The 21,357-nt window shown below is 41.8% G+C and overlaps 1 protein-coding gene across 17 annotated transcripts in view, besides 1 other annotated feature; it reads left to right on the top strand.

Annotated features, from left to right (window-relative positions):
* Nucleotides 1–21,357, top strand: part of TPRG1 (tumor protein p63 regulated 1) — a 328,078-nt gene that overhangs the window by 164,149 nt on the left and 142,572 nt on the right. Inside the window, exon 1 of one of the 17 annotated variants that reach the window (NM_198485.4) lies at nt 10,596–10,756. The exons of the other annotated variants lie outside the window; for them this stretch is intronic. The gene's annotated coding sequence lies outside the window, so the exon portion shown is untranslated. Of the gene's footprint in view, nt 1–10,595; nt 10,757–21,357 lie in introns of those variants that run through there. 17 annotated transcript variants of the gene reach the window in all.
* Nucleotides 5,103–6,302: an enhancer, noted in NCBI's record as "MED14-independent group 3 enhancer chr3:188884267-188885466 (GRCh37/hg19 assembly coordinates)". NCBI's record gives its function as "activates an origin of replication core promoter dependent on BRD2, BRD4, P300/CBP and CDK7 cofactors, and independent of MED14, by STARR-seq in HCT116 cells {active_cell/tissue: HCT116}" and the evidence as "EXISTENCE:reporter gene assay evidence [ECO:0000049][PMID:35650434]".

Here is a 21,357-nt window from a genome sequence, read left to right on the forward strand (position 1 = left end):
GGAGAAGCATTGTAAAAACCAAAAGATTCAAATACATTACATGCATATTAGATTGCTTATTGCCTCCTAGCTTAATAAGTAGTAGGTTCTTTTTTTTTATTATTATTATTCTTGTCCACATTGCCTTATCTTTCTCAGCAAATATCTTTTCTGGGTGCAAAAACTATACAAAATATACCATCCCTCAGGCCCAAAAGCCTGGCAGTAGGGTCTAAAGAAAATGATTGTGCCCACACCTTTATCCATTTTTTCACTCTTTATCCACTTCATTTTATATCATTCTATGAAATGTTTATTAAATATCTATTATATGCCAGCAATAATGGTAGTTTCAGTGACTAATGTGACAGCTCTTGCTGTCAAAGAGCTCTCAGATTAATCAGGGAATGACAATAGTCTAGAAATAATTATATTGTAAGGCAGATACTGCACGTGCTGTGAAAAAGGTAAAAGGATATGGAGGGTCAAGGTGAAGGCAGATAGCTTCTGAATAGTGGAGGTGTGAAGAGAAATGGAGAGAGCTTCATGGAGGAGGTAACTTTAGACCAGAATCTTTGAGGCTGTGAAAACTTTCTCTATGTGGGGTGATGGGGAAGGACTCTAGGAAGCGGGACCATTCTTTTTTTTCTTTTTTTGAAATGGAGTTTCACTCTATCACCCAGGCTGGAGTGCAGTCGTGTGATCTTGGCTCATTGCAACCTCTGCTGCCCGGGTTCAGGTGATTCTCCTGCCTCAGCCTCTCGAGTAGCTGGGATTACAGTCACCTGCCACCATGCCTGGCTAATTTTTTTGTAGTTTTTAGTAGAGAGAGGGTTTCACCATCTTGGCAGGCTGGTCTTGAACTCCTGACCTCGTGCTCCACCCACTTCAGCCTCCCAAAGTGCTGGGATTACAGGCATGAGCCATCGCACCCAGCCGAAGAAGGACCATTCTAAGAAAAGCAGGGGGATAGCAGCTTGTGAGACATATTTGGGAAATGCTGACAGTTTAGTTTGGCTGAAGAATATGATATGCACAAAGAAACGATGGGGAATAAGGGTGAAGCACTGTTGTTACGAGTCTTTAATGACAGGATAATAATTTTGTACTCAGTTTGATTTGCAATAAGGAAACATTGAAAGCTTTTTTGAACAGGAGGGTAAGTAATATGACAATGAAGATACAATGAGTTGGTATCAGAATTTGGAAGTGGTGGGGTTTACATCTGGCTCTAGCAACAGCCAGATAATAACATTTGGGTCTTTGATGGCTGCTATGGAAGAGAGAGAAAGACAGCATTTCATGTTCCAAATCAAAAGGACAGTAAAGCTAAAGACAGAGGTAGAAAACCCTAGGAGATCACTGAAAAACAGATTAATCCAGGTTGCTCTATACATAAGATACACGTGGGGAAATTTGGAGAGAGAACCAGATCTCTCTCTGTGCCCAATTTTCCCACCTATAAAATTTCAATAACATATAATACCTTCATTAGAGAGTTATTGTAGAAACTAACTGATTAATATTTGTAAGGTGTTTACCGCAGTTTCTGGCACATGATAAGCACTATATAAGTATTTGTTAAATAATTAGAAATAAATTTAAAACACAAGTTGATTTAACATAGAGTTCTTAGGCTGGGTGTGGTGGCTCACACCTGTAATCCCAGTACTTTAGGAGGCCCAGGCGGGTGGGTCACCTGAGGTCAGGAGTTCGAGACAAGCCTGGCCAACATGGTGAAACCTGGTCTCTACTAAAAATACAAAAAATTAGCTGGGCACGGTGCCAGGTGCCTGTAATCCCAGCTACTTGGGAGGCTGAGGCAGGAGAATCACTTGAACCCAGGAGGTGGAGGGTGCAGCGAGCCAAGATGGCACCATTGCACTGCAGCCTGGGCGACAAGAGAGAAACTCCGTCTCAAAAAACGAAGCAAAACAAAAAAACATGGGGTTCTTACTTTTTTCTCTGACTATTTCTCTCTGAGACATTGATTCATCTTGATAACACCTTGCTTTAGTTGGTATTTTAAATAAAATTTTGATATGTGTTAGCTCAAGTTATCTGTGTTATGATTCAATACAGAACCGTGATCAACTCTGACACGGGCCAGCTAATCTGAAGACATTTAAAAATGTCAAGCTTGTTATAGCCAATTGTTTTGGTTATTGTGATGATTTACCGGTTTTAGGCTTAAAACCCTAACATTCATAGGAGATAAACCTGTTTCTTTAATGAAATGACGACTTTTACGGGGCAACAAGTTTCCTTGAAAAGGAAATACGGGACTGAAGTTAAAATTAAAGATATGACTTTACAGCTCTCTGTGCCTTAGTTTCCCGGAATGTAAAATTAAGGAATTAGGCTTCTATGTGTGCCATTAGGGCTTCTCCACAACTTTACAGGTACCTCCAATATATTCCCGAATAGCAGTGGAGTTGCCGGGGTTGGGCTGGAGTGGGCACCCTTTGGCTCTACCCTCTTGGCTCTGCTTGTCTAGCAGGGCAGTCCCTGAGGCACGCTGGAAACCCCGCCGAGAATCATTCTGAAAACAATTGGATAAGATGATACCTTTAGCTAATAGTCTTTGGTTCTCAAAAAATATGCATTTTTTTTTCAAATAAGGTAAACTTTTTGCATAATAAACAAATAAATAAGACATATATACCTACATGCATTTTACTTGTATTTTACATGAAGTTGGGAACTTTGCTACTTAAATGGAACTCATGGTAAAAGAGAAGATTCTTTTATAATGTGAACAATTGTTTCTTCATGTCTTTGTTTTCTAAATTCTGAGTTTTACTCTTTTTCTTTTTCTTTTTTTTTGAGACAGAGTCTCACTCTGTCACCCAGGCTGGAGTGCAGTGGTGCGATCTCCACTCACTGCAACATCCACCTTACAGGTTCAAGCGATTCTCCTGCCTTAGCCTCCTGAGCAGCTGGGACTACAGGTGCCCACCATCATGCCTGGCTAATTTTTGTATTTTTGTAGAGACGGGGTTTCACCATGTTGGCCTGGGTAGTCTTGAACTCCTGATCTTAGGTGATCCACCCGCCTCGGCCTCCCAAAGTACTGGGATTACAGGCGTGAGCCACCAAGCCTGGCCCCTACTTTTTTTCTTAAATTGGGACAATTTTTGGCTCGAAACACAGTTGTGAAAACCTAGGATACTAGCTTCTTTGTTCATTATCTACTTTTCTAGTCATTGCATTTGTTATTCTTTTTACCTCTTTTGAAAATTGAAATAAGCTAAAAAAAAAAATAAAAGCTTCCCTTTTTTTTAAAAAAAAAAGGTATCTGAAATTTCACAAAGTATGCTGGCATCACAGCATTCCATGAATATTTAATCATCATCATCAAGACAGGAGGTTGGAGAAAAAAATCAGGTTGTGATATTTGGGAACAGCAGGTGTGGGAAGGAGGGTGTTGACATCCTCTGAAAACGGATATGGCATGTTGTGTGGCAGGTTCCCTCCACAGCTCCCATGTCCCCCTGGGGTCCCAAACGTGCTTTAAGAAAACTCTGAGGAGCTGGAGCTTGTCCTCAGCCTTCATGTGGCAGAGTATCCCTGGAAATGGGGATGGGCTTTGCTGAACTCCTTTCCTTCACAAAAACCTCCACGATTTCTCTTTTCTGGGCCTTTGTACAATGTAGCTAGCTCCAGCCCCCATCTCTGTGCATTTTTACCCTTATTACTGTTGTTAAGCAAGAACCTCTTTCATGTGTAGTAAGTCAGCAAGAGTACAGATATCCAGCTATGAGGATTTGGGATGGAGGGTAATGAAACTTTGAGTTTACCTAGGAACGTTTATATCATACAGTGAGGAGCAATGTAAAAATGAAAGAATCGTGGGTCATTCATGTACAGATTACTTGCCTTCTAACCTTACCACACCCTCAACTTTGCCTGCCGCCCAGTGTTCCAGACACACAGGTTTTACTGCTGTTTCCTTACAGCAAGACTGATTCACCCTACAGGTTCTTGCCCCTGAGCTTTTGTACAGTCTATTCTGGGTTGGAGTTTTCTAAATGACTGTCACGATAGATGGAGAAACTGTAACACTCTGGTTCTCAAACTTTTATGTGCATAACAGCCATCTGGCAAGGCTTGTTGACATGGAGATTTCTAGGCCTACCCCCAGAGATTCTAATCCAGTAAATCAAGGGGCCTGGGCATGTGCATTTTTAATATGAGGTTCTCAGGCAGGTGTCCAGGGACCTGCGCATCAAATGCTGTCTTCGGGGTGAGAGGCTCTTTCTGGACACTAAAGGCTGCCCTGGCATGAAGATCCAGGCTGATACTGGAGTCATAAGCCCTGGACTCTGGGCCTGTCTTTGATTCAGGCTGCTCACTGCACTGGGGGTGGGACTATTATTTGTGTGACAGTGGAGTAAGTTTTTCCCCTGTGGACCCCAAAGATGCAGAAAGGGGGAAAGAATCCAAAATTACTGCCAAGAGGTGGAAACTGCTCACCGTGTGATTCAGGTGGCCATTGAGTGTTGCCAATATGGAAAATCTCTTAGGCTACAGGAACAGAGGCAGGGCTGTAACTGGTCAGGGACTAAGACAGACAAAAGGAAGATTCCCTCCCTCTCCCCAGGTGATTTGGGCTCTCTGGAAACCCAGAGAGCAGTCGCAGTTCAAAAGAAATCATCAAATGTCAAGACAGAATCACTGAGTAGAGTCCCCAACAACATAATAAAGATGAAAATTAAACATAAACTTCTTGGCTAAGCATTCCAGACCCTCAATAACATGGCCTTGGCCTTAGAGGCCACCATTTCCCTTTAAACTTCAGACATTCCAAGAGAACAGAGCATTCAGTGTCTTCAAATGGGAATTCAAGGGACTGTGTTGATAGATGAGTGCCATAGGATCTTCCTCTCTGGTTCAACTCCTATGGTCCAAACTCAAGTTTTTGAATTGAACTGTTTTGTTGTTTTCATTACGTTGCCATGCCAACTTAGGTTCTAGAGTGTAATCTTACTTTAAAAATCAATCCTTAAGTGGGGACACTGACATGGAGGTGATAACAGTTTGATACTTAGTAGCATAGAATGACAACCTAGAAGAGACCTCACTTTGAGCACGTCCAAACTGCTTTAATTTGCTGACAAGGAAGCCAAAGGATACCGAGGGAAACTTGCATAAGGGTATACTTGACCGAGCACACCCAGGGAGTTAGTCAACTAGGGAAGTAACTCTCCATGCCTACAGAGAAATGCATAATACCTTTTATCCTAACTAGTATCCCTGATACTTTCCTTGGTGTCTCAGCGTTTCAAAAGCCTATCTTATTTGCATTGTAATTTATCACTAGCTCTTCGTTTGTGTGTTTAAATTTTGTCAAGGTTCTTCTTCCTTCTTTAATTTCTTCCCTGATGAGACATGTAAAATGCCTCAAGCTGTTAGGAGAAGAACTTTAGGTAGGAAGAAAAAAATAATCCAATGGTAATAGTTTCATCTTACTGAGGTTTTTAAAGATCAGGGTCATTTTCAATTTAATTCGACCATATATTGGGTATCCGAGTCTGCCGGTGACTGAACTGGGGGTGGGACTCTTATTTGTGTGACAGAGGAGTAACTTCTTCCCCTGTGGACCCCAAAGATGCAGAAACGGGGAGATAATCCAAAATTAATGCCAAGAAGAGGTGGGAGCTGCTCACAGTGTGAACTGGCCTCAGCCCATTCTCTAATAGAAGCGGTGTTTTTTTCTCTGATGAAGGTGGGCTGTGGTGGTTGCCTGAGTCGGCTGTGAGATTCCATCTAGCTCTTGACATTGAGAGGTGACTGGATGGTTTCCACATCCACTCCAGCGTAACCCACACTTCCTCCTGAGCCCTGTGAACAGGGAGGAGCCCAGGTGCTTAGCAGGAATGGTGAGCCACACCCCAGGTATGAGTCAGACCTCCCATCCAGCAAGATGGGGAAGGGTGATGGGGTGGAGACTGTGGCAAGTTTCACATTCTCCCGCCTTGTCTTTTCTTTGATTTATATTTGTAAGGAAGGGCATTTCAAAGTGAAGCTCTGCCTTATGGGGAGCCCTTCTCCCTGCCATGAATGGCTGGCAAAGTACACCCTTGTTTTCCTTTTCCTGGTTCTTTCTTAGTTCTCTGTTGCTTTGGGGGAGTGCAAGTGTAAGAGTAGGGGCAGGACTGGTTTGTGAGGCCAAGTGCAAAGTGAAAATCCAGCCTCCTTGTTCAAGAACTATTAAGAATTTCAACATGACAACAGCAGAACAAAACCAAGCACAAGGCCCTTCTACCTGCAGGCCTGTGTAACTGCACGAGTTGCATGCCCATGAAGCCATTCTTGGTTGGGGTGGATCAGAAAGTCAGGTGAGGATCTGGAGTGGAGGACCCTCACTGGGTCTCAAACCAAAGCTAAAAACATACAAGAATTCTTCCCCATCTGTAATGAGTGTGAAAAATGGTGCAACATTAGCAGATTGGTATCCAGAGAGTCTCGAAGTATTGCACTTACTTCGAGATTCTGTGGCTGTCAAGAGCAGACCTTATTTTGCAAAGGAGAAAGAGAGGCCAAGATAGAAGAGACGATCCTCTGAAGGTCACATTGCTTGTTAGTGGCAGAATGGGAACTAAATCTTAGGCTTTCTAACTTCCATGCCAGTGCCCTTTTTAGCCCTCAGTGAACCTGTGCGACAATGAAATTGTTCTCTTTCATTGCGGATAAAATTGGAACTTGGAAATAAGAGTGAGATGCAGGGAAGGAAATGAGATCAATGATAAATGAATGGAGAAAACAAAACAGTTTAGGAAGCCAAAGCAGTTTGTCTGAGTCCTATCTGATACACAACATACAGCAAAGCAGACAAATGTGTATGTGGCAAAACAAAACTGGAGGAAGCAGATATTTTCAAATAAAATATGCATATTTCCAACCAGCCTTGAGCTCATCTGATAAGGGACAGATTGTCCGGAGTAAATAGAGAGAGAAAAAAAGATGCTTTGGGCTGAATTTAGTCCCTTGTCAAAAGCAGAAGGGGCTTTTTGTTTCTCCTTCTCTGAAATGTCACCTCTCTAGCTGTGAGGCCTTGTAGGGCTGTGAAGGAAAACAGAGTAGTTTGTATATTCATTCGTTTACTCATCCACCCATCCGTCAAAGTAGGTATCTTTTGAGTACCTACTATTGGCATTGTACTGTGCTAGATTCTAAAAAGAATGTCTTGTTTAAGACATGGTCCTTATCTTTAAAGAGGGTAGACAGATGCATATTGGGGAAGAAAACTAACTATAAGAGGGCGGTACTAGTGACGTGTGTGGTGTACTATTGGAACGCAAGAGAAGGGGAAATTCATATTGCTTAGTACCTGTTCACTTCAAAAGCTGCTGCCAGTATCTGTTCATTGTCATTGAACTCCTCTTTCCCAAAAGACTCCTGGGACAAGGGGTGTATCTGGGGAGTTGGGATATGGGATTCTTGTAGACAGTACCTATTTACCCCCAGTGATGCATGTTTATTTACCAATTTTTATCTGCATGATCCACTATGAGGGAGACCTGGACATGAGGTGATTCTGGTTCATACCTGACCAGGATCCATGCCACCTGTACTTCCTCCTGCCCATCTGCTGCCCCAGGCAGTGTGTAAGAGAACAGCCCTGCTGAGTCCAGGGAGGAGACTAGCTTGTGTGATCATCAGGATGTCACTCCATCCCCATTTGAAAAATGGCAGAAGAGGGGTTCTAACATACCAGTGTTTCCTAACCTAAATAAGTAACAACATACGTTATTTCTCATAGACACTAGAGCTGAATGAGAAGAGGAAGAACAATAATTTGTAAAAGCTATTATTATTATTATTTGAGATGGAGTCTCACTCTGGTGCCCAGGCTGGAGTGCAGTGGAGCGATCTTGGCTCACTGCAACCTCCGCCTCCTGGGCTTAAGCGATTCTCCTGCCTCAGCCTCCCATGTAGCTGGGATTACAGGGGCCCGCCACTGCGCCCGGCTAATTTTTGTATTTTTAGTAGAGACAGGGTTTCACCATGTTGGCCACGCTGGTCTTGAACTCCTGACCTCAGATGATCCGCTCACCTCGGCCTCCCAAAGTGCTGGGATTACAGGCATGAGCCACCAGGCCCGGCCTGTAAAGGTTATTATAGAAGAGAGAGAAGAGACAGGACACAGAGAGAAATGATCTCTGAAGGCCAATCTGGTAAAAATTATTCTGTGCTTCCCTGCTCCTTGGCTGTTGAGCATGTCCTCTACTGGGAGATCTGTACATAGCCTTTGCTATGCCTGGAAATACAGACATGAAGTGAATTCTTATATATAGCCATATGTTCTGTCATAGTATTGCTTCACATTCATACCAATACTTTGAATTTTACAAAGCTCTTATCACCTCCAGGAGCTCATTTTCTCCCTCAACAGCCCAGGGAGGTTGGTGGGATCTGTACTGTAACTCCCATTGCACGGAAGAGGCAATCAAGGCTTGGGGAAAACTAAGCTACTTGCCTCTGATCCCAGTGAGCAGCTGAGCAGGGACCAGAGCTGAGGTTTTCCGTGTGGCATTACTCCTACTGCTTGTGCCCCTCCTGGATGTATTATGTTACTGCAGGCTGCAGTATGGCGGAGCTCAGCATGAGCTGGGAGGAGTGTTCAGTGGCCGCTGGAAACCTAACGATAATTAGATGGATGCCGTGTGAACAATTGATGTCTTTTCACAGAGTTTCTTGCCCTTTAAAATAGCATACTTCAAACAGCAGTGCATTGCTTAGTCCTTCTCTTAAGAGACCAGGCTGGGATCCAGCATGTCTCCACTCCTCCTGCCTTTTGTGCCCCCACCCTGAGCTGTCATAAAGACATTTGGAGCTGAGTGGGAACGGTATTTGCCTCGCAATTATTTCTAATTGCCCTGTAGTTTTGTGGCGTCTAAGTGGTGTGACCTAGATACCGGTTCTGTAAAACTCTCTTTTCAGCCTGGGGTCTGTATTAGGGAGGGGGCATAAATCAGTTTGATCAGGTAACTGTGGCTGAGTCCATCTCACCAATAACATTTATACCCAACTCTACCATCTGTGCTTGTTGAAATCCTGGCTCTTCTTAACAGCCCGGATCTAATGCCGCCTCCACCGCTGTGCAGCCTTCCTGGAGTTGCTCCCTCCTCTGGATTACCATAGTACTTGTTAGGATCCTGTCTGTGGTGCTCATCATCTTCTATATCGTGCAATGCTAATTCACTTACAAATTTTATCTTCTTGAGCTCCTTATGCCAGAGAATGTGTTTGGTTCCTTTTCATATCCTTGTCTATGTGGATAACTGAGAAAGCTCAAGGTAGTTGCTCAGTTAACTACTGTTGAGTTAGTATACATGACGTCCTCGACACGGTGGAAGCAGGTAAAAGGACTGTTTATTCATTGTGACCTCTCCTGAGTGGCGAGTTGCCAGTTTGCACTTCATTTCCTGTGGAATCGCTTCATGACCTCAGTATTCCTGGAACTTTAAACAACATTTTTTGAAGGGTGAATATTAGTTATTTTTCTTTTAAAAGAATGGAATTCAACCAATTTACTTTGTCAGCGCACACCCGTTCCTCCAGCCATCAAACAAATACAATCTGATTTGGCCAGAGTCTGCTGAATGAAGTAGAGAATTTAGGATAGAAGATTGAAATTCAATCATACACATAACAGCATTTTGTTTTCTGTGCTCTCCTTTCTTTCAGCAATCCACCTACTTGTGCAGTTCATACTTTATTTTATACCAACTCTGTATGTAGAACACACTTGCTTAGGTTTCAGAATGTGTTCATTAAGATTCTATTTCATTTTTTTAGCACCGTTGCTATGTCAAATCTTATCCTAGGTTTATTCTCATATGCTTCCTTTCAAGTTCTATCTGCATTTCTGAAGGAGAAATGATACTCTCAACTTACAGATGACCAAAATTAAAAAACCTCAGAAAGATAGATTATGACTTGCTATAGGCTGCAAAGCCATTAAATGACAGATCAGGATTCACTAAATAGATATTAATGGATCATCATTAATTCAATGTGTATTTATTTATTACCTACTATCTGCTGGGTGTTTTGAGGAGTATATGAGAGAATAAGATGTAGCATTGCCCTCAAGGGGCCCCCCATCTAGGGAGGGGGATACACACTTACATAGAGACAATATCATGTGGCACATTTCCTAATAGGAATACTGACCAGAGATTGTGTGTACATGTGTTTGTTTTCAGAGATACACTGCTCTACATGTCTTCTACATTTTTGACAAGAGTGGTAGTGATGCTTAAAATCACAAATATCCAATAAATCAAGCCATCATAAAGAATATTAATGATAGGAGTGTAGGCCTCAGGCTTAAGCTTAATTATAACTACTTGGAGGCATACAGAAGCCATGGAGGAATGGATGATAGGCTGCTCCTGCTCCCTCAGCTGGATGTGTATTAGAGGGAGTTGGCAGAAAAATGCAGGACTTCTTGAGGGAGAGGACAGGAGGTAAAGGTGTGTCATTGCAGAACAAGAAAGGCCCCACCCACAAACCCAATTCTCTGCCTCTGACGGGTTGAGTTCCACCCTGTAAACATCCTCAGTCCTTTCATTTGACTATTTGAGGGTGGCAGTGTAACTCTCAGCCTACTTGGTGAAGTGAGATTCAGACTGAGTGGGGTCACAGCACAGGGCACTGTCTTGCCTGGCTTTATCTGAGCCAATCACACCTCTCCTGGCCACTATCTGTGGTCTAGCCCCCTTTGTGCAGAAAGAGAAAGAAGAGCCTTGAGGACCAGCCTAGTCAGGTAAGATCAAGTGGCTTGTCACTGGTTCTGCAGAGATGGGTTATTTCTCTATGAACCAATTGCTTCTGTCCCCTAAGCCGAGTTTCTGGTCACCTCCCCCACTGACTTGCAGTTTGGTTTAGGTTTGTAGTTTTGCATTACCATGTGAAATTTCCCTATTCTTCCTTACTGTCCAGGGTTGATGAGGCTTGTAGGCTAGCATTTTTTAGCCTATAAAGCCACTTGACATACTTATCTATATATTGATTTTGATCTTAACTGCCCTATAGTGCAGTAGGATGGGTATAATTTTCTCCATTTGGTGGCTTAGTGAACTGAAGCTTGGTCAATTGAAGTGATTTGTTCCAATTGGATCAGCAGGTTAAGGCCAAGATTAGATTTGATTCCTTCTTCCCTCTTCCTCTATTATAGAACCCAGCAGGTCATACCTTATCCCCAAAAGCCAAAAGAAGTGAAAAGCCTTTCTGAACCGTTAAATGGCAAACAAAAGGTGATTATTTCTTTGCAGGCAGTTTGAGAGGGTTATTTTTGAATTCATCTGAGGGAAATTTCATAATAATATATAGGTCCCATCAAACAGGGCTGTTTTTAGAGAACAAACGAGGGCATGTATGTAAAGGGGAGTTGTAAACTGAAAGGTGATAGGCAAATGAGACAGCGATGACTACTTGGCGCCTGAGACATCCTCCAGATCTCTGTATAAGCAGGTTTTAATTCGGGGCTAAATGACACTCTCCAAATGTCAGAGGCAGCGTAGTGAGGCACAGATCATACAGGCCCTGGGGAAATATTTTAGCTTTTCAGTCACACTGTGGTATGTAGAAAAGCAAATCTCAATGGGGGAAAAACACCCCCAAATCCTTTCAAATACACTCATGCAATTTCCTCTCTTGTGACAGCTATCATAGTATCTCATTGTTCTACAGTTTTAAGGAAATCTCATCTTCAGTTATTATGTAGTTTACTTTTTAAGATGCTAATTTTAGCTATCATTTTTCTTTTCATGCTCAAAAGGTTATATCATTCTTAGTTGTGGAAGGAAATGTTTCCTCTGTGTGTGTGTGCATGTGTGTATGTGTGTGTGTGTCTGTTTGAGTTTATTATGACAGTACTGATAGTCATCCCTTGGGGCCACCACAAATGCATTGGGTTGTAATGCTATATAATCTTTGGCAGACTTCTATATATTCTTTTTCTTTCTTTTCTTCTTCTTTTTTTTTTTTTTTGAGACAGAGCCTTGCTCTGTTGCCCAGGCTGGAGGGTAGTGGCGCGATCTCGGCTCACTGCAGCCTCCACCTCCCGGGTTCAAGCGATTCTCCTGCCTCAGCCTCCTGAGTAGCTGGGATTACAGGCATGCACCACCACACCTGGCTAGTTTTTGTATTTTTAGTAGAGACGGGGTTTCACCATGTTGGTCAGGCTGGAACTTCTATATATTCTTGGTGTCTTTCTGGCTGTAAGGATCCTGAAGAAATCGTTTAATTGATTACTTTATTCAAAACAGAGAAACTGAGGCCCAGAAAGATGAAGTGATATGCACAAGTCACACAGCCAGTATCATTGGAGCTGCAAGTCACATATGGGTCTCTTACTCTTTCATTGCCCACAATATGTAGTGAATGGTGCTAGGAGTCCCAAGCAGAAGCATTAGCCATGTCATTTTGGAGACTGTAACTAGATGTCCTTTAAGATTTCTTCCAATTAAGAGTTTTAGGGCACTTTGACCTTTGCTTAGCATCTACTGGAGATGGTATCATGCCCTTTAGAGCAGGGAAATCTGTCAGAGAAGCCTCTCTCTTTATTGACTTGGTTCTTCTGGAATATTTGCTTCGGCCAAATGTTGGAGCTGCTCCTTAGGTATAAGATGGGGAGATGGGCAAGAGGTGGTGGCATCTTCATTTTCTTCAGCCTGTCTGGATTTTTATATTTTCTGGGATCTTCCTAAATAAGTGCCACTCAGTTTGATCCTTTTAAAACTTGAAGTGATAGTTGATATTTTACTCAACATTGTTTAATCTAATGGCAGCGTCAAGTCCGAGAATTCATTTACTCCAGAGCTTGCAGAGCAGCAGCCACAGGTGAATCCAGCATGCAGATGTGCTTTGTTTGTGCTGCCATGTTAAACAAGATAAAACTAGTTCCAAAGTATTTGATATCTAGGAAATTTCCTGTAAAAAATCCAGATATCTTGTTTTCAGGAAGATCAGGAGATCTGATAATAATGGACCCACATCCCCTCATGGATAACACCTGTGCTGGGGCCGGGCAGCAACTTCTTCCTGTAGATAGAACATGTTTTCCCCCATCCTCCACAGCTCCCATTTTACCTGATTTAGGCTACCAAGTGTTTGAATTTTCCACTTCTGATCTCTTCCAATCTCTTAGGTATTAGGATTCCTTTCAATCATTCTCTTTCAACGGAAACCTAGTTCTACATAATGACAGACCAGGCTACAGGTTAATGGCACCAGGGAAGAGGTGAAGTTAATTATTTGTTCCTAACCTCTCACTATGTAAGAGATATAGGATATATGATGACTTCAGTAGAACATACCGTTGGCTCTGATACCTACCCAGGATATTTTCTTCAGCTAGCTATCAAAACTCAGTGACTTGAATGCTAAAGTATTAAGCAAGATGACACTGCTGCAGCATAATATTTAGATGCCTATAAAAGAATAGGAAGGACAGTTGATACTTGCAGGGTAATCCTCTTTACTCAATCGATCAATGGCATAAAAACAAGAAAAGAAATTATGATGTATGATAGCACATAGATAGCAATATAATGCCCTGTTTCCAAAGAATCCAAATTGCTGAAATACTAGAGACTAGCTTAATGATATGTTTTCTCTTATTCACCCACTAATATAATAATCACCTTTTGATCACCTATGGTGTATTATACAACCCTAAGCTTAGGGATTTAGGGGTAAAGAGTAGAGACCCTTTCTCAAAGGGGCTTACCATCTAGTATTGAAAATGTGTACACAAGTAACTATAATGCAAGACAGAATATGATAAATATTTCAAGACGAAGAAGAAAGCAAATATTGAGGTCTCACGAAGAAGAGATTTATGGCAACTAGGTAGGTTGCCATCAGAGATAATTGTAAGGATGAAATGGCACTCGAACTGGGCTTTGGCTCAATAGACGTGAGAAGAGTTTTCAACAAGAGAAGAGTTTAAGTAAACTCCCAAGTCAATACTATTTGAAGTATATTTGAAGGGTAGGAAGCATTTACTACAGCTCAATATAGGGCCAGTGGAACTGAAGTGGAATGAGGCCAGAAGTCTGGGTCTTCACCAGATCCTGGGTGCTGGCAGGCTCAGGGTTTCAGATCAGGCACAACATGGTGTCTTTGATGGGCATTACGGCTATTGACCAGACATTAGTTCATGATTATTAGCTCATTGTTATCCAAGTTTGTAAGTCGTCAGTGAGAGAATGTCTGTGTAGGCACACCTTAGCTCTACATTAGGATTTTCAGAAGTAACAGAAAAAAAAGAACAGGATTAAGTTGAGCACTTACATGAATACAATACACAGTATCATGTGAAGTGAGTAAGGCAAGGTGGTGCTATACAGTAGAATTAGAAAGATGGATAAAAATATTTTTAAAATATGTTAAGCAACCTATAAGACTCATTTAAAAATATGGAAAAGGTTTCTCTCTCTCAAGAAAGTCTATTCCTCTGGGTTATCTGAATGTTAGAAAAATGATGATGCACAAGTTGAGTTCTTAACTTGTGTGATGTGGGAAGATTTTTTATTACGTAACCTTTGTCCTTTGGTCTGGGAAGCAGTCACTCTATAAGGAACAGGCATAGAAGATTCTTGATATCCTGACCCTGGATTCCTTCATAATAAACATTACTGAGAAAATCGTAAATATATGCATGCTCCACTGTGTTTCACAGCATTCCAGGTGGGTGAAGGGAAAGATTTTGTTTTGCAAAGGGCTACACTGTCACCAAAGCAATATTTAATATTTACACAACTCCAAACCCCAAGGTATTTTATAAATAACCAAACTTTTCTCATTTTCATGTGTATGATTGTGTGTGGGATTGGCTTAGAGTTGTACTTATATCTCAGAGTTCTGCGCCTCAAGAGACGTATGTAGGTGATGTGACACAGAGTAAAATGAGGTGTTTGAACAAGATTCATTCATTTTAAACTATTTATTGAACAATGGTTCAATTCAAACGTCTATTCAAGTGTCATTCATTGAAAGCTATTGAATATCTGTTTTAAGTTTTGGGAAGAAAATTGTGTCTTTTCTACAACCCCATAAGTAGTTCTGGTAATAGCAGCAGTGAAAAAAAATAATAATCTCTTTATTCAAGGAGCTTATATTTATAGTGATACAGAAAATAAACAAAACCATTCAGTAAAATATGTAATATATGAGATATGGAGAACAATAGAACAGAGAAAGAGGATAGAAAGTTATGGAGAGCTAGATTTTGGACAGGGTGCTTAGGGTGGAATGAGGCATTATTTGGGTAAAGGACTTAAGGATATGAAGGAGTCAGCGAGGCACTAATTGGTGAAAGAGTATTCCAGGCAGCTGGAACAGGAAGTGCAAAGGCCTTGAAGCAAGAGCTTGCCAGCCTGGCATCTTTGAAAAATAAGGCGTGGAACGAACTGAGTGGAAAGATCTTTGGATTTTGGGAGATGAAGTTAGAAGTTAGATGATTGTGGAGTGAGAACAGGGAAAAGTGATAATGCAGGGCCCTGTAAGACACAATAAGGGCTTTGACTTTCACTCTGATTGAAATAGGAGCTATTTGCAGATTTGAGCAGATGAATGACATGGTCTGACTTATGTTTGAAAGGTATCCTTCTGTCTGTGTGTTGAGAACAGATGAGGATGAAGTGGGGAGAGAGGTGGCAGAAGAAGAGAGATTCTTAGGGAGTTATTGCTATAATCCAGATGAATGATGTGGAAGCTTGGATGAGGATGTAGCTGGTTGTGCAGGAATGAGAATGTTTTGATTCTAGTGGCTGATATATAGAATGAGGGATAGTGAGACAGATAAGTCAAGTATAACACCACAGTTTTACCTGAGCAACAGGTAGAAAAGAGTGGCCTTTATTTGAGATGGAGAAGATGGTGAGATGAATAAGTTTTGAAGGAGTATTAGGAGCTTACTTATGGACAGGTTAAGTTTGAAATGTTAAGTGGGGAGTAAATGTATAAATCTGGTATTCAGTGAGGATATCAGAGCCGAAGATAAAAAATGGGAATCATATATGTATGTATGTATACGCATATATATGTCTATACATATATATGTATACATATATATGTCTGTTTATATATGCATATACTTATATATGTATATACATATATATGTCTGTTTATATATGCATATACTTATCTATGTATATACATATATATATATGGTATTCACAGCAATGAAATCAAATGAGGTAATCAAAGGAGTTAGTATCGATAGAAAAGAGGAGAGGTTTATGGACTGACTTCTGGGGTGCTGAATGTTTGAGTTTAGAGAGGTGCAGTGAACCCAGTCAGTGGTGTACCAAATGGGAAGGGGGGTGGTGAGAGTGGTCCCATGCCAGCAGAGAGGGGTATTGTATCACCTAAATCACTTAGAATCTCTATCACATGGTAATAATGAGAATAATTCTTTTCATTTACATTTTCTGTAGACAATGCATCCCTAAATTATCAACACGTTAAAACAGAATATTCTTGCTACTTCCTCTTTCCTCCACTTCTCTCAGGTTCTATTCGAACCCAGAAGGGAGATGGAGGAGGAGTAGCCAGCGTGCTGGGTGGACACTAGGTGAATGTGGTGTGTCCTGGGAGTCAGGCAAAGGAGTCTTCCCAGGAGGAGAAAGTGATCAGATGGTACAGATGCTGCTGAGAGGTGGAGTTGGATGATGCCTGAGAACTGAGCATGCAGCAGTGTGCTGGCACAGGCTCAAGACAATGGGAAGAAAGGAATTGGAGATTGTGAATATAGATGTTCCTTTCAAGGAGCTTATTTATAAAAGAAAATGGAGAAAATGGGCACCAGCTGTGAGGAAAAGGATGGGTTTTTATTGAGGTGGAGGAAAGATAACAGAAGTATGCTTTCATGGGCCGGGCACACTGGCTCATGCCTTGTAATCCCAGCACTTTGGGAGGCCAAGGTGGGCAGATCACTTGAGGCCAGGAGTTCCAGAACAGACTGGCCAACATGGCAAAACCCCGTCTCTACTAAAAATACAAAAATTAGCTAGGCATGGTGATGCGCATCTGTAGTCCCAGCTACTCGCAAGGCTGAGACACTAGAATTGCTTGAACCCGGGAGGCAGAAGCTGAGATCACGCCACTGCACTCCAGCCTGGGCGATAGAGTGAGACTCCATCTCAAAGGAAAAAAAAGAAATATGCTTCGTAGAGTTTGTAACTTGATTGATGTACATAGGCAGAACATTTTATTTTATCTTTCTACAACCCTGTAAAGTAGTTCTGGTAAGAGTTATCATTTTTTCAGGCTCCAGGGGTTGAAGTCAACTGTGCAGAATCAGACAGCAAATTAATAGCAGATGGTATTTAAACCTGGTTTCTAAAAGTTGAGTTCATGGTTCTCTTCACTGCCTTACTCTACTCATAATTTTGGAGATAACTTATAGCTTTAGAACTTTCTATAACAGTTTTACTTAGCCATGGTTTAAGGACATTTTATAAATCTCAGGAAACTCACACTTCTGAGCAATGTCTCCTAAACTGACAGTGATTTTACATCAAATGGAGGATGTTTGGAGCTCTAAAAAGGAATTAGAACTCAGTGTCTGCATCAGTGAAAACTTGCAGTATTTGGAAAGATTCTCCCAAGTAGTGTCAACATAAGACTTCAGGTTGAACCATCTGCTTGGCTGGAGGTTGGGAATACAGTTTTTTATACCTTTACTCATAGACTGGTTCTCACATTAATGTCTTCCTCTAGTAGTGCTTTTGTGTCAACTTACCAACATCTATGATATATCCTTATGCTGTCTGATGCTTTCTGTCAACTTGAAGGTCATGCACAGTTAAGATTCTTTCTTTTTACATGGAGCTGCAACCATACATTTCTGGGTCTCCAATTCTACCTGGTTCTCAAATGGGACATTGCTACTCTTTATAAGCAGGCATGGACATATTATTTTGATCCAGAATGGAAAGCTTTGCACACCATTTGTCACTTCCCCAGTGGTGGCTCTCCTCACCCATCACTGAGATCACCAAAAGGTAACTTCCTAGAGTGACATATAAACCTTGTCTTTCAGCCACAGATTGTACTGAATACTTGGTGTGTCTCTAGTGGTTTGCCTTTTGGAAGAGCTCCTAGATCCATAGGTATTCAGACAGCTCAGCGTGACTTTCTGCAGTTGCATTGAGAGTGCCCCTATTGCACACTATACAGATTATTGCCTATTGCTTTATCCAGACATCTCATAATTATCTGTTTGTAGATCTGACTCTTTCACAGACAATTACTCCTTAAGGGAAGAAATTGTATTTGCAGGTTGCTTTCTACTCTCCACCTCTCTGTTTTCCCCAGCACAGTACTTGGCCCAGAGAAGTTTCCCCCAAAATGTGTTTGAATTAATCAATTAAATGTAGCACTCTTTTATGCCATTTAGAGTTGCACTAGGGAGGTTAATGTATGTCACATAAGAAAAAGGGGGAGTACCCAAGTTCAAGACATTCTTATATGCAGAACTAATTAATTATGCAAATCAAATCTACAACCATATTAGTCCTTTTTCACACTGCTGGTAAAGACACACATGAGACTGGGCAATTTATGAAAGAAAGAGGTTTAGTGGACTTACAGTTCCATGTGTCTGGGGAAGCCTCACAATCATGATGGAAGGCAAGGAGGAGCAAGTCACATCTTACATGGACGGCAGCATACGAAGAGATAGAGTTTTTGCAGGGGAATTCCTCTTTTTAAAACCATCAGATCCCGTGAGACTTATTTGCTATCATGAGAACAGCATGGGAAAGAGTTGCCCCATGATTCAGTTACCTCCCACTGGGTCCTCCCATAGCATGTGGGAATTCAAGATGAGATTTGGGTGGGGACAGAGCCAAACCATATCATTCCACCTCTGGTCGCTCCCAAATCTCATGTTCTCACATTTCAAAACCAATCATGCCTTCCCGACAGTCCCCCAAAGTCTTAACTAATTCCAGTATTAACTCAAAAGTCCACAGTCCAAAGTCTCATCTGAGACAAGGCAAGTCCCTTCCACCTATGAGCCTGTAAAATCACAAGCAGGTTAGTTACTTCCTAGACACAGTGGGGGTACAGGTATTGGGTAAATACAGCCATTCCAAATGGGAGAAATTGGCCAAAACAAGAGGGCTACAGGCCCCATCCATGTCCAAAATCAAGCAGGGCACTCTACTCTTAAAGTTCCAGAATGATCTACTTTGACTTCATGTCTCACATCCAGGTCACACTGATGCAAGAGGTAGGTTCCAATGGTCTTAGACAGCTCCATCCCTGTGGCTTTGCAGGGTACAGCCTCCCTCCCAGCTGCTTTCACAGACTGACATTGAGTATCTATGGCTTTTCCAGGTGCACAGTGCAAACCGTCAGCGCATTTACTATTCTGGGGTCTGGGGGAGTGACCATCTTCTCACAGCTCCACTAGGTGGTGCCCCAGTAGGGATTCTGTGTGGGGACTCTGGCCCCACATTTCCCTTCCACACTGCCTTAGAGGAGTTTCTCCATGAGAGCCTCACCCCTGCAGCAGACTTCTGCCTGGACATCTAGGCATTTCCATACATCTTCTAAAATCTAGGCAGAGGTTCCCAAACCCCAGTTCTTGACTTCTGTGTACTGGCAGGCTCAACTCCAAGTAGAAGCTGCCAAGGCTTGAGGCTTGCACCCTCTGAAGCCATGGCCTGAGCTCTATGTTGGCCCCTTTCAGCCATGGCTGGAGTGGCTAGCACACAGGGCACAAAGTCCCTAGGCTGCACAAGGATGGAGACCCTGGGCCCAGCCCACTAAACCACTTTTTCCTCTTAGGCCTCCCAGCCTGTGATGGGAGGGGCTGCTATGAAGACCTCTGACATGCCCTGGAGACATTTTCCCCATTTTCTTGGGGATTAACATTTGGCTTCCCGTTACTTATCCAAATTTCTGCAGCCAGCTTGAATTTCTCCTGAGAAAATGGGATTTTCTTTTCTATCTCAGTCAGGCTGCAAATTTCCCAAACTTTTATGTTCTGCTTCCCTTATAAAACTGAATGCATTTAACAGCACCCAAGTCACCTCTTGAATGCTTTGCTGCTTAGAAATTGCTTCTGGCAGGTACTCTAAATCATCTCTCTCAAGTTCAAAGTTCCACAAATCTCTAGGGCAGGGGCAAAATGCAACCAGTCTCTTTGCTAAAACATAACAACAGTCACCTTTGCTCTAGTTCCCAACAAGTTCCTCATCTCCATCTGAGACCATCTTAGCCTGGACCTTATTGTTCATATTATTATCAGCATTTTAGTCAAGACCACTCAGCAAGTCTCTAAGAAGTCTCAAACTTTCCCATATTTTCCTGTCTTCTTTCGAGCCCTCTAAACTGTTCCAACCTCTGCCTGTTATCCAGTTCCAAAGTTGCTTCCACATTTTTGGGTATCTTTTCAGCAGCACCCTACTCTACTAGTACCAATTTACTGTATTCATCCGTTTTCACACTGCTGATAAAGACACACCTGAGACTGGGCAATTTATGAAAGAAAGAGTTTTAATGGACTTAGAGTTCCATGTGACTGGGGAAGCCTCACAATCATGGTGGAAGGCAAGGAGGAGCAAGTCATGTCTTACATGGATGGCAGCAGACAAAGAAAGAGAATTTGGGCAGGGTAACTCCTCTTTTTAAAACCATCAGATCTCCCGAGACTTATTCACTATCATGAGAAAGACTAACTCCCATGATTCAATTACCTCCCACTGGGTTCCTCCCACAACACATGGGAATTCAAGATGAGATTTGGGTGGAGACACAGACAAACCATGTCAACAACTTTGGAAGCCAACTACTATGGTTAATTTTACATTTTAGTTAGGAATTCATAAGCTTGCATAATTGGTGTGTCCATTCTGAAAATTTTGTATCATTATTCTTACCTATTAATCCTCAATAGTATCTGCAATGAAGAACTCTTGCTGAGCAGTAAGTCAAAGAAGATGAAACTAATAAAAGTGTCTGCTTATACATGCATACCCCAACTTTCCAAGCTCATAACTTAAAAAAAGTAGTCCACATTAAAACAAATATCTGACTAACATGTTTTAAACAGTTAATTTAGGATTAAATTATAAAGCCCTCTGCTAACCTGTGGGAAAATGGACCTTCATGTATTCTACTGAAACTTAAATTGGTATAACATTAGATATACCATTAGGTTGGGGGAGGAATTTGGCCATGTATACCAAGATTCATAAATCTTTGATCCAGCACTCCCACTTCTGGAAATTTATACTGAAAAAGAAATTAAGGCTTATAAAAAGTTTTACCTACAAGAACCCTCAGTGCATAGTCATTATAAAAGTACGTAAAAAGGGAGCAACATGAATAATTAACAATAGAAAG

Source organism: Homo sapiens, chromosome 3 (genome assembly GCF_000001405.40).
Source record: "Homo sapiens chromosome 3, GRCh38.p14 Primary Assembly".
Classification (NCBI taxonomy): domain Eukaryota; kingdom Metazoa; phylum Chordata; class Mammalia; order Primates; family Hominidae; genus Homo; species Homo sapiens.